We start from the raw sequence: 13,950 nt of genomic DNA, 5'->3' as shown, positions 1-13,950 counted from the left end.
ATCAAAATACGAGGTGGCAGCCTGGATGGGGGAGGGGTGTCTGCCATTACTGAGGCTTGAATAAGTAAACAAAGCTGCTGGGGAGCTCGAACTGGGCGGAGCCCACCGCAGCTCAGCAAGGCCTACTGCCACTAGACTCCACCTCTGTGGGCAGGGCTTAGGTGAACAAAAGGCAGCAGACAACTTCTACGGACTTAAACGTCCCTGTCCGACAGCTCTGAAGAGAGTGGTGGTTCTCCCAGCATGGCGTTTGAGCTCTGAGAACAGACAGACTGCCTCTTCAAGTGGGTCCCTGACCCCTGTGTAGCCTAACTGGGAGACACCTCCCAGTAGGAGCCAACAGACACCTCATATAGGCAGGTGCCCCTCTGGGATGAAGATTCTGGAGAAGGATCAGGCAGCAATATTTGCTATTCTGCAATATTTGCTGTTCTGCAGCCTCTGCTGGTGACACCCAGGCAAACAGGGTCTGGAGTGGACCTCCAGCAAACTCCAATAGACCTGCAGCTGAGGGACATGACTGTTAAAAGGAAAACTAACAAACAGAAAGGAATAGCATCAACATCAATAAAAAGGACATCTACACCAAAACCCCACTGTAGGTCACCAACATCAAAGACCAAAGGTAGATAAAACCACAAAGATGGGGAGAAATCAGAGCAGAAAAGCTGAAAATTCTAAAAATCAGAGCACCTCTTCTACTCCAAAGGATCGTAGCTCCTCGTCAGCAACGGAACGAAGCTGGACAGAGAATGACTTTGATGAGTTGACAGAAGTAGGCTTCAGAAGGTCGGTAATAACAAACTTCTCTGAGCTAAAGGAGCATGTCCCAGCCCATTGCAAGGAAGCTAAAAATCTTGGAAAAGGTTAGATGAATGGCTAACTAGAATAAACAGTGTACAGAAGACCTTAAATGACCTGATGGATCTGAAACCATGGCACGAGAACTTGGTGACACATGCACAAGCTTCAATAGCCTATTTGATCAAGTGGAAGAAAGGGTATCAGTGATTGAAGATCAAATTAATGAAATAAAGCAAGAAGACAAGGTTAGAGAAAAAAGAGTAAAAAGAAATCAACAAAGCTTCCAAGAAATATGGGATTATGTGAAAAGACCAAATCTATGTTCGATTGGTGTACCTGAAAGTGATGTGAAGAATGGAACCAAGGTGGAAAACACCCTTCAGGATATTATCCAGGAGAACTTCCCCAATCTAGCAAGGCAGGCCAACATTCAAATTCAGGAAATACAGACAACACCATAAAGATACTCCTCAAGAGAAGTAACCCCAAGACACATAATTATCAGATTCACCGAGGTTGAAATGAAGGAAAAAGTGTTAAGGGCAGCCAGAGAGAAAGGTCGAGTTACCCACAAAGCAAAGCCCATCAGACTAACAGCAGATCTATCTGCAGAAACCCTACAAGTTAGAAGAGAGTGGCGGCCAATATTCAACATTTTTGAAGAAAAGAATTTTCAACCCAGAATTTCATATCTGGCCAAACTAAGCTTCATAAGTGAAGGAGAAATACAATTTTTTACAGACAAGCAAATGCTGAGAGATTTTGTCACCACCAGGCCTGCCTTATAAGAGCTCCTGAAGGAAGCACTAAACATAGAAAGGAACAACCAGTACCAGTTGCTGCAAAAACATGCCAAATTATAAAGACCATCCATGCTATGAAAAAACTGCATCAACTAATGGTCAAAATAACCAGCTAACATCATAATGACAGGATCTAATTCTCACATAACAATATTAAACTTAAATGTAAATGGGCTAAATGCCCCAATTAAAAGACACAGGCTGGCAAACTGGATAAAGAGTCAAGACCCATCAGTGTGCTGTTTTCAGGAGATCCGTCTCATGTGCAAAAACACACATAGGCTCAAAGTAAAGGGATGGAGGAAGATATACCAAGCAAATGCAAAGCAAAACAAAGCAGGGGTTGCAATCCTAGTCTCTGATAAAACAGACTTTAAACCAACAAAGATCAAAAGAGACAAAGAAGGCCATTACATAATGGTAAAGGGATCAATTCAACAAGAAGAGCTAACTATCCTAAATATATATGCACCCAATACAGGAGCACGCAGATTCATAAAGCAAGTCCTTAGAGACATAGAAAGAGACTTAGACTCCCACACAATAATAATGGGAGACTTTAACACCCCACTGCCAATATTAGATCAACGAGACAGAAGGTTAACAAGGCTATCCAGGACTTGAACTCAGCTCTGCACCAACCGGAGCTAATAGATATCTACAGAACTCTCCAACACAAATCAATAGAATTTACATTCTTCTCAGCATCACATTGCACTTATTCTAAAATTGACCACATAATTGGAAGTAAAGCACTCCTCAGCAAATGTAAAAGAACAGAAATCAAAACAAACTGTCTCTCAGACCACAATGCAATCAAATTAGAGCTAAGGATTAAGAAACTCATTCAAAACTGCACAGCTACATGGAAACTGAACAACTTGCTCCTAAATGACTACTGGGTAAATAACGAAATGAAGGCAGAAATAAAGATGTTCTTTGAAACCAATGAGAACAAAGACACAACGTATCAGAATCTCTGGGACACATTTAAAGCAGTGTGTGGAGGGAAATTTATAGCACCAAATGCCCACAAGAGAAAGCAGGAGAGATCTAAAATTGACACCCTAACATCGCAATTAAAACAACTAGAGAAGGAAGAGCAAACACATTCAAAAGCTAGCAGAAGGCAAGAAATAACTAAGATCAGAGCAGAACTGAAAGAGATAGAGACACAAAAAACCCTTCAAAAAATTGATGAACCCAGGAGCTGGTTTTTTGAAAAGATTAACAAAATTGATAGACCACTAGCAAGACTAATAAAGAAAAGAGAGAAGATTCAAATAGGCACAATAAAAAAATGATAAAGGGGATATCACCACCGATCCCACAGAAATACAAACTACCATCAGAGAATACTATAAACACCTCTATGCAAATAAACTAGAAAATCCAGAAGAAATGGATAAATTCCTGGACACATACACCCTCCTAAGACTAAACCAGGAAGAAGTTGAATCTCTGAATAGACCAACAACAGGCTCTGAAATTGAGGCAATAATTAGTATCCTACCAACCAAAAAAAGTCCAGGACCAGAGGGATTCACAGCCGAATTCTACCAGAGGTACAAAGAGGAGCTGGTACTGTTCCTTCTGAAACTATTCCAATCAATAGAAAAATAGGGAATCCTCCCCAACTCATTTTGAGGCCAACATCATCCTGATACCAAAGCCTGGCAGAGACACAACAACAAAAGAGAATTTTAGACCTATATCCCTGATGAACACTGATGCAAAAATCCTCAATAAAATACTGGCAAAACAAATCCAGCAGCACATAAAAAAGCTTATCCACCATGATCAGGTTGGTTTCATCCCTGGGATGCAAGGCTGGTTCAACATACGCAAATTAATAAACATAATCCATCACATAAACAGAACCAAAGACAAAAACCACATGATTATCTCAATAGATGCAGAAAAGGCCTTTGACAAAATTCAACAGCCCTTCATGCTAAGGACTCTCAATAAACTAGGTATAGATGGAACGTATCTCAAAATAATAAGAGCTATTTATGACAAATCCACAGCCAATATCATACTTAATGGGCAAAAACTGGAAGCATTCCCTTTGAAAACTGGCACAAGACAGGGATGCCCTCTCTCACCACTCCTATTCAACATAGTGTTGGAAGTTCTGGCCAGGGCAATCAGACAACAGAAAGAAATAAAGGGTATTTAATTGGGAAACGAGGAAGTCAAATTGTCCCTGTTTGCAGATGACATGACTGTATATTTAGAAAACCCCATCGTCTCAGCCTAAGATCTCCTTAAGCTGATAAGCAAATTCAGCAAAGTCTCAGGATACAAAATCAATGTACAAAAATCACAAGCATTCCTACATACCAGTAGCAGACAGAGAACCAAATCACGAGTGAACTCCCATTCACAATTGCTTCAAAGAGAATAAAATACCTAGGAATCCAACTTACAAGGGACATGAAGGACCTCTTCAAGGAGAACTACAAACCACTGCTCAGTGAAATAAAAGAGGACACAAACAAATGAAAAAACATTCCATGCTCATGGATAGGAAGAATCTATATCATGAAAATGGCCATACAGCCCAAGGTAATTTATAGATTCAATGCCATCCCCATCAAGCTACCAATGACTTTCTTCACAGAATTGGAAAAAACTGCTTTAAAGTTCATATGGAATCAAAAAAGAGCCTGCATTGCCAAGACAATCCTAAGCCAAAAGAACAAAGCTGGAGGCATCACACTACCTGACGTCAAACTATACTACAAGCCTAGAGTAACGAAAACAGCATGGTACTGGTACCAAAACAGAGATACAGACCACTGCAACAGAACACAGCCCTCAGAAATAATACCACACATCCACAATCATCTGATCTTTGACAAACCTGACAAAAATAAGAAATGGGGAAAGGATTCCCTATTGAATAAATGGTGCTGGGAAAACTGGCTAGACATATGCAGAAAGCTGAAACTGGATCCCTTCCTTACACCTTATACAAAAATTAATTCAAGATGGATTAAAGACTTAAATGTTAGACGTAAAACCATAAAAATCCTAGAAGAAAACCTAGGCAGTACAATTCAGGACATAGGCATGGTCAAGGACTTCATGACTAAAACACCAAAAGCAATGGCAACGAAAGCCAAAATAGACAAATGGAATCTAATTAAACTAAAGAGCTTCTGCACAGCAAAAGAAACTACCATCAGAGTGAACAGGCAACTTACAGAATGGGAGAAAATTTTTGCAATCTACCCATCTGACAAAGGGCTAATATCCAGAATCTACAAAGAACTTAAACATATTTACAAGAAAAAAACAAACAACCCCATCAAAAAGTGGGCAAAGGATATAAAGAGACACTTCTCAAAAGAAGACATCTATGCAGCCAACAGACACATGAAAAAATGCTCATCATCACTGGTCATTAGAGAAATGCAAATCAACACCACATTGAGATACTATCTCATGCCAGTTAGAATGGCAATCATTAAAAACTCAGGAAACAACAAGATCCTGGAGAGGATGTGGAGAAATAGGAAAGCTTTTACACTGTTGGTGGGAGTGTAAATTAGTTCAACCATTGTGGCAGACAGTGTGGCAATTCCTCAAGGATCTAGAACTAGAAATACCATTTGACCCAGCGATCCCATTACTGGGTATATACCCAAAGGATTATAAATCATGCTACTATAAACACACATGCACACGTATGTTTATTGCAGCTCTATTCACAATAGCAAAGACTTGGAACCAACCCAAATGTCCATCAATGATAGACTGGATAAAGAAAATATGGCACGTATACACCGTGAAATACAATGCAGCCATAAAAAAGGATGAGTTCATGTCCTTTGCAGGGACATGGATGAAACTGGAAACCATCATTCTCAGCAAATTACCACAAGGACAGAAAACCAAACACCACATGTTCTCACTTATAGGTGGGAATTGAACAATGAGATTACTTGGACACAGTGTGGGGAACATCACACACTGGGGCTTTTCGGGGGGGTGGAGGCCTGGGGGAGGGATAGCATTAGGAGAAATACCTAATGTAAATGACTGATAGGTGCAGCAAACCAACATGGCACATGTATACCTATGTATCAAACCTGCACGTTGTGCACATGTACCCTAGAACTTAAAGTATTAAAAAAAAAATCCTGCTAGCTATACAATTTGAAAATCAGAAAGGGAAGAAAAGAAAGACTTTCTATTCCTTCCCACCTGTAATAACTGCTTTTAATACCTTTGTGTATTTCCATCTGCAGGTATATTTTGAATTCAAAGGAAAATGGATCACACATATTAAAGCTTTTGTTCTGCAAATATTTCATATTATTTTAACATAAATATTGTAATTTTACCTAAAAAAATGTACAATTATATCCAGCCCAAATTCATGCCATTGTTATGATTTCAACATATCCTGGCCAGAACACTGGTTTAATTACTTCACAGATCAAAAAGAAAGGCTTCTAGCACAGAGACGTATCAACTCAAAGAACTGCTCTTTTCAGGATAATTGCCAAGTGTCTGTATACAGTTTGATGTTCTTATGAATTGAACTGTGTAAAAATTCACACACTGGAGTTCTAATCCCCAGTACCTCAGAATGTGATCTTATTTGGAAATAGCGTTGTTGAAGATACAGTTAAGATGAAGCTATAATGGAGTACTGTAGTCCCCTTAACCAATATGACTCATGCCTTTATATAAAGGGGAAATTTGGACACAGAGACATGCACACAGGAATATCATGTGAAGATTGGAATTATACTGCCATAAGGCAAGGAGCTCTCAGAAGCTAGGAGAGGGGCCTGGAAAAGAACCTTCCCTAATGCCCTTGAAAGGAGCATGGCCTTGCCAACATCTTGATATCAGACTTCCGGCCTCCAGAATTTTGAGATAATACATTTCTGTTGTTCTAAGCCCCCAAGTTTGTGGTACTCTGTTATAGCAGCCCCAGAAAACTCACAGCTATCAGACTTTTTAAAAAAACCTAAATTTTACCGCCCCTTTCACACATGACACAAGCTATCAAAGCAAAGAAAGACTCATGAAACAGAGGCATGACCATGTACCCTTCTCATTCATTCACCTCCTTTACCCTCCTGTCCCCTGCGTACCCAGACCCCATGCCATTGTAGAGGTGATTCACAAGACACCCGACTTGCCGACTTTCTTAGCCCATGCTCTCTATAGAGGGAAAGAACAGCCAGCCTTTCATGTGGGCCACAATGGCTACCTGGCTATAAGAAGCTCACCCTTCATTGTAAATTTTCTTGTCTGACTTGGTTGGGAAGTTAGTGTGTCATTTTACATGGACATGGGGCCCTTATCCTAGTAAATTCCCTTTCCTTTGACCAAAAGAGCTGAAATTGTCTCCACAAAGCTAGTAAGAGCCTTTCATTTATGTTGGCCTATGAAAGAAATTACTCCCTCCTGACATGCACACCCACTCACACTCACACACAAACACATACACACTCACACTATAGAAAACGTTCCAGTGGCATTAGTGTGTGCTCAGTGGTCTGGTAAGATGTTGAGAAAGTGATATGAGAGCAGATTAGCACAAGCTATTGAAGAATAGTGTGTTTGAAAGACTGACATAGAGTATATGCAGAAATAAAGAGAATGATGGAAAGTGAAAGAATTGTGTTGTGTTATGAACGCAACACTCTGTTGCTGGTTATTAAGAAAACTGAAACTGTAGGATATTTAGTATGTGTGCCCTCTAGTTTAGGTTTGCTGGAATTTGATCAGTACTGTGTTTACAGATTGGCCCAACTTTTGTAAAAACCTCTTTGTTTCCCTTGCTCTCAAACATGTTACAAGTTCATTAAATGGCCTAAGACTTTGCTGCTAATTTTCTCCTGTAAGAGATTATAAAAGGCGTATTTGAGGCCAAGGCCTCTAAGCAGGATTCAGGTGTGGGAAGAAATGGTACTGATGATTCATCCGCCTCTAAGTTGGTAAAGTCTCATATTGGATACCGGCAACCTGATGACCAGATCACACTTGAAGTCAGCATCAGTTCTGAGCACAAAGTTAAGTGGATCTTTAAGGATGCCTTATAAACCCAAGGCCATCAGCAAGTGTGACTTGGTCAGAGTGAAGAAAGGACAGGAGATTCTGAACCATGAACAATCTGCTTGCAGGACTGCTTTCTGCTAACAATCTCAATTCTAGGCATCTGAAATATGCCCAGATATGGCCAAGTGACAGTGCATTAAGTGGGAAAAATAGCATACAAAAATCAGATCTGCAGATAATTCAAGAAGCCCATTTTGGGTAATACTTTTGATGCTCTGTGTTTTTTCTTTTCACCCTGTAAAAATAATCTTTTTCCATCTAATGATAGACTGGCAGAGAGGATAATGAGGAAAGCTAAAGAAATGCAGAATTTACAAACTAGATGGTCTGTCCCTGAACAATTGAATGTGCTGAGAATGTATCATTTCAGAAAGATTTTAGCATGGAAAATCCTAAAGACTCTATGTTTAGTATAGTAAAGTGCTGCATAACACCGTTTCAGTTAGTGATGAACCACATGTGTACTGGTGGTCCCATAAGATTATGATACTGAATTTTTAATGTACCTTTTCTATGTTTAGATATGTTTAGATACACAAATACCATTGTATCACAACTGAATGCAGTATTCAGTACAGTAACATGCTATATAGGTTTGCGACCTAGGAGCAATAGACTGTACAATATAACCTGGGTGTATAGTAGGCTGTACCATCTAGGTTTGTGTAAGTGCACTCTGTAATGCTCGCAAGGACAAAATTGCCTAATGATGCATTTCTCAGAGTATATATCCATCATGAAGTGATACATAATTGTATTTCCCAATGTAGAAAACATCAAGATTTTTCTTCTTTCAACTGATCCCTGGTTACTAATTGGTCATCTGTGGAACTGGAAACCTGAAGAAATGTAAGGTGAGTATTAAAAATATATTACTTTTGTGATATTAATATCCTCTAAGATTAAAGTAAAATAGTGTTTCCCACTTCATTCCATCTTAAAATACAGTAGTACATACCTGTTGAAACAATTTCCACCCCTCTACCTCTAAAAAAAATTACTTTAAAAAAATTACTTTGAAACTATTGGCAAGATCAAAATGGCCAGCCCTATGATTCAGGGCATTGTGGAACACCTAATCTCATTATTTGTCCTGCAAACATATGAAACTCAACACCCCAATATGAACCTCTTCCCCCAACACATTTTTTAAGTAAACTTTTCTTGTTTTAGAACAGTATGAAAAAAAATTGGGAAGATAGTACAGAGACTTTCCATATACACCACACCCAGTTTCCCTTATTATTAATATCTTACATTAGTATGATATACCTTCTACACTTAATGAACCAATATTGACACATTATTAACTAAAGTGCATACTTTAATCAGTTTTCTTTCATTTTTACCTAATGTTCATTTTCTGTGTCAGGATCCCATCCAAGGTACCATATTGCATGTAGTATTATGTCTCTGTAGACTCTTCTTGGCTATGTCAGTTTCTCAAACTTACCTTGTTTTTTGGTTTTGTCTGTTTTTTGTTTTTGAGACAGGGTCTCACTTTGTTACCCAGGCTGGAGTGCACTGGCACAATCATGGCTTACTGCAGCCTCAATCTCCCGGGCTCAAGTGATCCTCCTGCCTTAGCCCCCTTAGTAGCTGGAACAGGCGTGCACCACCACACCCCGCCAATTTTTCTTAAATTTTTGCAGGGACGAGGTCTCATTATCCCAAACTCCTGGGTTCAAGTGATCCTCCTGCCTTGGCCTCCCAAAGTGCTGGGATTACGGGCATGAGCCATCACGTCTGGCTCATACCTTGTTTTTGATAACATTTAGTTTTGAGAAGTACTGGTCCGATAGTTTATAAAATATCCCTCGGTTGGGATTTGACTAACAATTAAACTGAGGTTATGCGTTTTTGGGAGAAAGCTCAAAAAGTTAAAATGCCATTTTCATCACATCTGTCAAGGGCATATTGCCATCACTACGGTGATATATTGATATCACTGTTGGTGGTGATCACCTGGCTGAGATGTGTTTATCACGTGTCTCCACTATGAAGTTATTCTCCTCACCGCTTTCTATCATGTACTCGTTGGTAGGGAGTCCCTATGCACAGCTCCCACTTAAGGACTCGGGAATTATGCTCTACCTCCTTGAGGACTATCTACCTAAATTATTTGAAATATTTCTGCAAGGGAGGTGGTCTCTTCTCCTTCTATTTATTTATTTATTCAATCATTTATGTCAGTATGGATTCATGAATATTTATTTTATACTTTGGATTATAATCTGATGCTACTTTATTTATTTTGGTTGAATAATTTTTATACCTTAGATTATAATCCAATGCTACTTGAATATTTATTTTATACTTTGGGTTATAATCTGATGCTACTTTATTTATTATGGTTGCTCAAATTGTTCCAATTTTTACTACTGGGAGCTCTTTCAGTGAGATCTTGTGTCCCTTTGATGTGCCCCTATCATTGTGTTTTGTTTGTTTTTTGGCTTTTTCTGAGTACTTCCTTTTTTGTGGTACTACAAATACACAAATCTTACTTGTATATTTCTTGTTCCAGTCTTAGAATCAGACATTTCCCCCAAGAAGCCCTCATTCCTTTTATTGCAGAATGGTATGGGAACCCAAGAACTCGATGCTTAGTGTCCATGCTACTAAACTGTCATTGCTTCTTGGGCCTCTCAGCTGACAGATCAGCAAGATATCTGTGTGAATACTAGCCTATACATATGCACATATCTCTAAATATTTCCATATGTGACCATGTTTTAGCTATATGAAGCTAAACATGAATTCATACTGATGCTTCTGACTAATCCGTTACCACGTGGGTTATTCTGGCCTCGTCCCCTTGTTTATCTGTAACCTCTCTTTCCAAAAGTGAGATATCTGACATCTAATACTCATCATCCATTTATTTAATTGTTCAATTTTAGTATATGTGTATAATGGTATTAAAACTTTTATCCCTGTGGGAAACAACTTCATTAATGAGTATATAGTGCTTATGTATAATTTCTTTTGCCATCTTTTTTAGTCATACAGGCCTCACTCATTTCCAGTTACTTAGGTCAGTAACCTTCCCCTATAAAACCTACAGTGAGGTTGTTTCACACATTTGTAATACAGTTACAATCTTTGTCATGTTGGACATTTCATCTTGGGATTCTCCCAACCTCATAAATGATTTTTCTTTAATTTGTATACATTAAGCTCTCCTCTCTCTATTGTACATTTCTATGGATTTTGACAAATACATAGTGACACTTATCCACAGTTATACCATACAGAATAGCTTCATTGCTCTAAAACTTCTCCTGAGCCGCACTTGTTCTGTGCTCCCCTTCTCCCACACCAAACCTCTGGCAATCACTAATTGCTTCCATCTCTGTAGTTTTGTCTTTTCCAGAATGTCATATAATTGGAATCATACTGCATATAGCCTTTCAGACAGACTTCTTTGACATAGCAATATGCATTTAAAATTCATCCATGTCTTTTCATTCCTTGATGGCTCATTTCCTTTTTATTACTGAATAGTACTCCATTGTATGGATGTACCATAGTTTTTTTTTTTTTTTTTTCATTCATTCACCTGGTGAAGAACATCTTGGTTGCTTCCAGTTTGGGACAATTATGAATGAAGCTGCTCTAAACATTTGCATGGCGATTTGGGGGTAGACATAAGTTTTCAATTCAGTTGGGTAAACACCTAGAACAATTGCTAGATCATATGTTAGGACTATGTTTAGCTTCCTGCAAACTGCCAAACTGCTTTCCAAAATGGCTAGACTATTTTGCATTTCTGCCAGCAATCAATGAGAGTTCCTTTTTCCACATCCTCACCAGCAATTGATATTATCTGTTTTTGGAATTTTAGCCACTCTAATAGGTGTGTAGTATAATCTCATTGTTGTTTTAATTTTTAATTTCCCAGTGACAAATGATGTTGATCACCTTTTCATACACTTGTTTGCCATCTGTACATCTTCTTCGGTCTTCCAGTCCATTTAAAAGTACTTAGATAATTTATTGATTGTTAAAGCTATATTTCAAGTTTGTATCACTTTCTTATTAAATATCCTTTCCCAAGAAAAATTTCTAAAATTTGCCACAAATTTGGATTACATGGACAAAACCCTCCATACACTACCAGTTGTGACATTACTGGTAGAAGGAATCTATTTTAAATGAGTATCATGTATATTTAGCAAATTATTTTATTGGTAGTCTACCTATCATCTTAAATACTACTAGAAACTGCCTCTCTTCACATCCAAATATGAAGACAGTGCCCACTATACTTTAGCATACATTACCTAACAATGAAGAAGAGGACACACATATGCCTTAGTAATAACATTGTCTTGCTTTGTGTCCTTGAACAAGTCACTTTGCCATGAGAGGCCTCAGTTTCTTCATCTGTTGTATAATGAGGTGAGTGCAGACAACCTAGAATTCCTTTGACTTTTTTCATTTTATTTTTTACTCTTTTCTACAGTCTCAGTCACTGACCAGAGGCTCATTAACACAGGATTCTTTCCTTTGGCTACCTTTCCTCCTACCACGACCACACTAAATTTTCCTCGTTTAGTTGTTGGTACTCTTTCCAGACCACTCCTTAAGTTCAATATGTACTTTCTCTCACTTTTATTATCTAGAGATCAGTTTCACTTGTTAATATGCTGTGTTTTAATTTTTTCATATCACATCTAATTAGAACTTGTTTTGCTTGAGAGTAATTAAATTTTATGACAGCAAATTAAATACAAGTTGATGGCTTCATGGTTTATCTGAAAATCATCCCAGACTGCTTACTAGAACCTAAATTAAAGTTGTTTCCATCCTCCACTAGGACTCCTTCATGAACAGGATATGTTTCTTGATGAATTTCAGCTTTTGGACTACTCTTTTTTTTTTTTTCTAAAGGATAGATCTGAGAAGCCAAGAAATTGAGCCTGAAAAACAACCCGCCACCAAAGGGTCTTACTCAGGATATATTTGATAAACTCCTTTTTCCTTGTTGTTAAATGTATCCTGTTGCCTTGAAAGAAAGGAGTACGCCTACCTATACAGTGAGCAATTTTCTCTCCAGGGAGTACTTTACTCATTCAAGTTCACCATAGGTCAGGCTAAAAGCAGTCCTGGTATGATTTGTATTTCTCACCACAGTCATCCTTAACTGATTCAGGATGTATGACTAATTAGAAGAAATATACACAGCAGGCACAGTATATGACACACAGCAACCACCTGCATAGGTTGCCATTGTGTTTAAGTTGCACAGATGGCCCCGTGAGTCATTAACTTTTATAAAACGACTTTAAAATCAATGTACTGACAAAGAATGTATAGGACTGTGCATTCAAAAAGTTCAGGTAAGTGAAATGGTAGACAACTGGAAAGCAGTGTCTCCCCCTTACCAAGAATGATTTACAAATCTAAGGATTATATCTTTAAAACCAGAAAAACAAAACTATCTCTAACAGGCAACTCTTCTGTTTGTCTTTTTCAGTCTCACACAGAACTCAAAGCACAGGTCATAGTTCAGGGGCTTGAACGTGTTCACAGCTCCCCTGACTGCATTTGTCTTTTAGTTTGCGTATGATGTTTACCTGGCTGTGGCTGGCCAGACATATATTCCTGGCCTTGTCAGTATCTAAAATTCGATAAATGTTTATTACAGAATTGGAACAAAGAAGAGTAAAAGGGCTTTGAATAAGGGCTGAAGGGGTCTCATCTTTGAGTAACATCTGTGACTGATACCAAGGCATGCCCCAGCAAACAACTGAAAGCAGCTTCCTGTGGGGTGACGTGCTTATCTGATCTGCCCGCTCTGGGTGGGCCCTCAGACTTTAACAGCTAAGGTAGATCCGTATACTCTCGGGTGTAATAATACCTGGAAGGGTTTTAGGTTGGAACTTTATAAAGATGACAAATTTAAAACTAAGGAATAATCTGTATATGCAGATTACTTTAGAGTTAACCCACACATGAAATCAACCACAAGAAAGTCTTCAAGTGTATTACAAGTGCCCCTATCTACTAAGGAATTTGTTCTGTTGAAAAAATAAAATATTCTTTGGTGATTTGGGGGTCTAAATTTCTAAGTTGCCAATGGTTCTACATATTTTTCAGCTGTCCAGTTTCCATTGTTGCTGTTTTGTGGGTCCAAGTCGCTTTTTTCCTACAAAAAATAATAATAAAAGCTCACTTTTCTTAAGGACTTTCCACATTCGCAGAACTCTTCTAAATCCTTTATGTGTATTTTAGCTCATGTTATTTCCTTCTA

At 38.4% G+C, this 13,950-nt stretch overlaps 1 annotated feature.

The window, feature by feature from the left end:
- Window positions 12,396-13,595: an enhancer, noted in NCBI's record as "P300/CBP strongly-dependent group 1 enhancer chr2:182655450-182656649 (GRCh37/hg19 assembly coordinates)". NCBI's record gives its function as "activates an origin of replication core promoter dependent on BRD2, BRD4, P300/CBP, MED14 and CDK7 cofactors, with strong dependence on P300/CBP, by STARR-seq in HCT116 cells {active_cell/tissue: HCT116}" and the evidence as "EXISTENCE:reporter gene assay evidence [ECO:0000049][PMID:35650434]".

This window comes from Homo sapiens, chromosome 2 (assembly GCF_000001405.40).
Source record: "Homo sapiens chromosome 2, GRCh38.p14 Primary Assembly".
Taxonomy (NCBI): Eukaryota; Metazoa; Chordata; class Mammalia; order Primates; family Hominidae; genus Homo; species Homo sapiens.
This window is presented reverse-complemented; position numbering and strand designations above follow the sequence as displayed.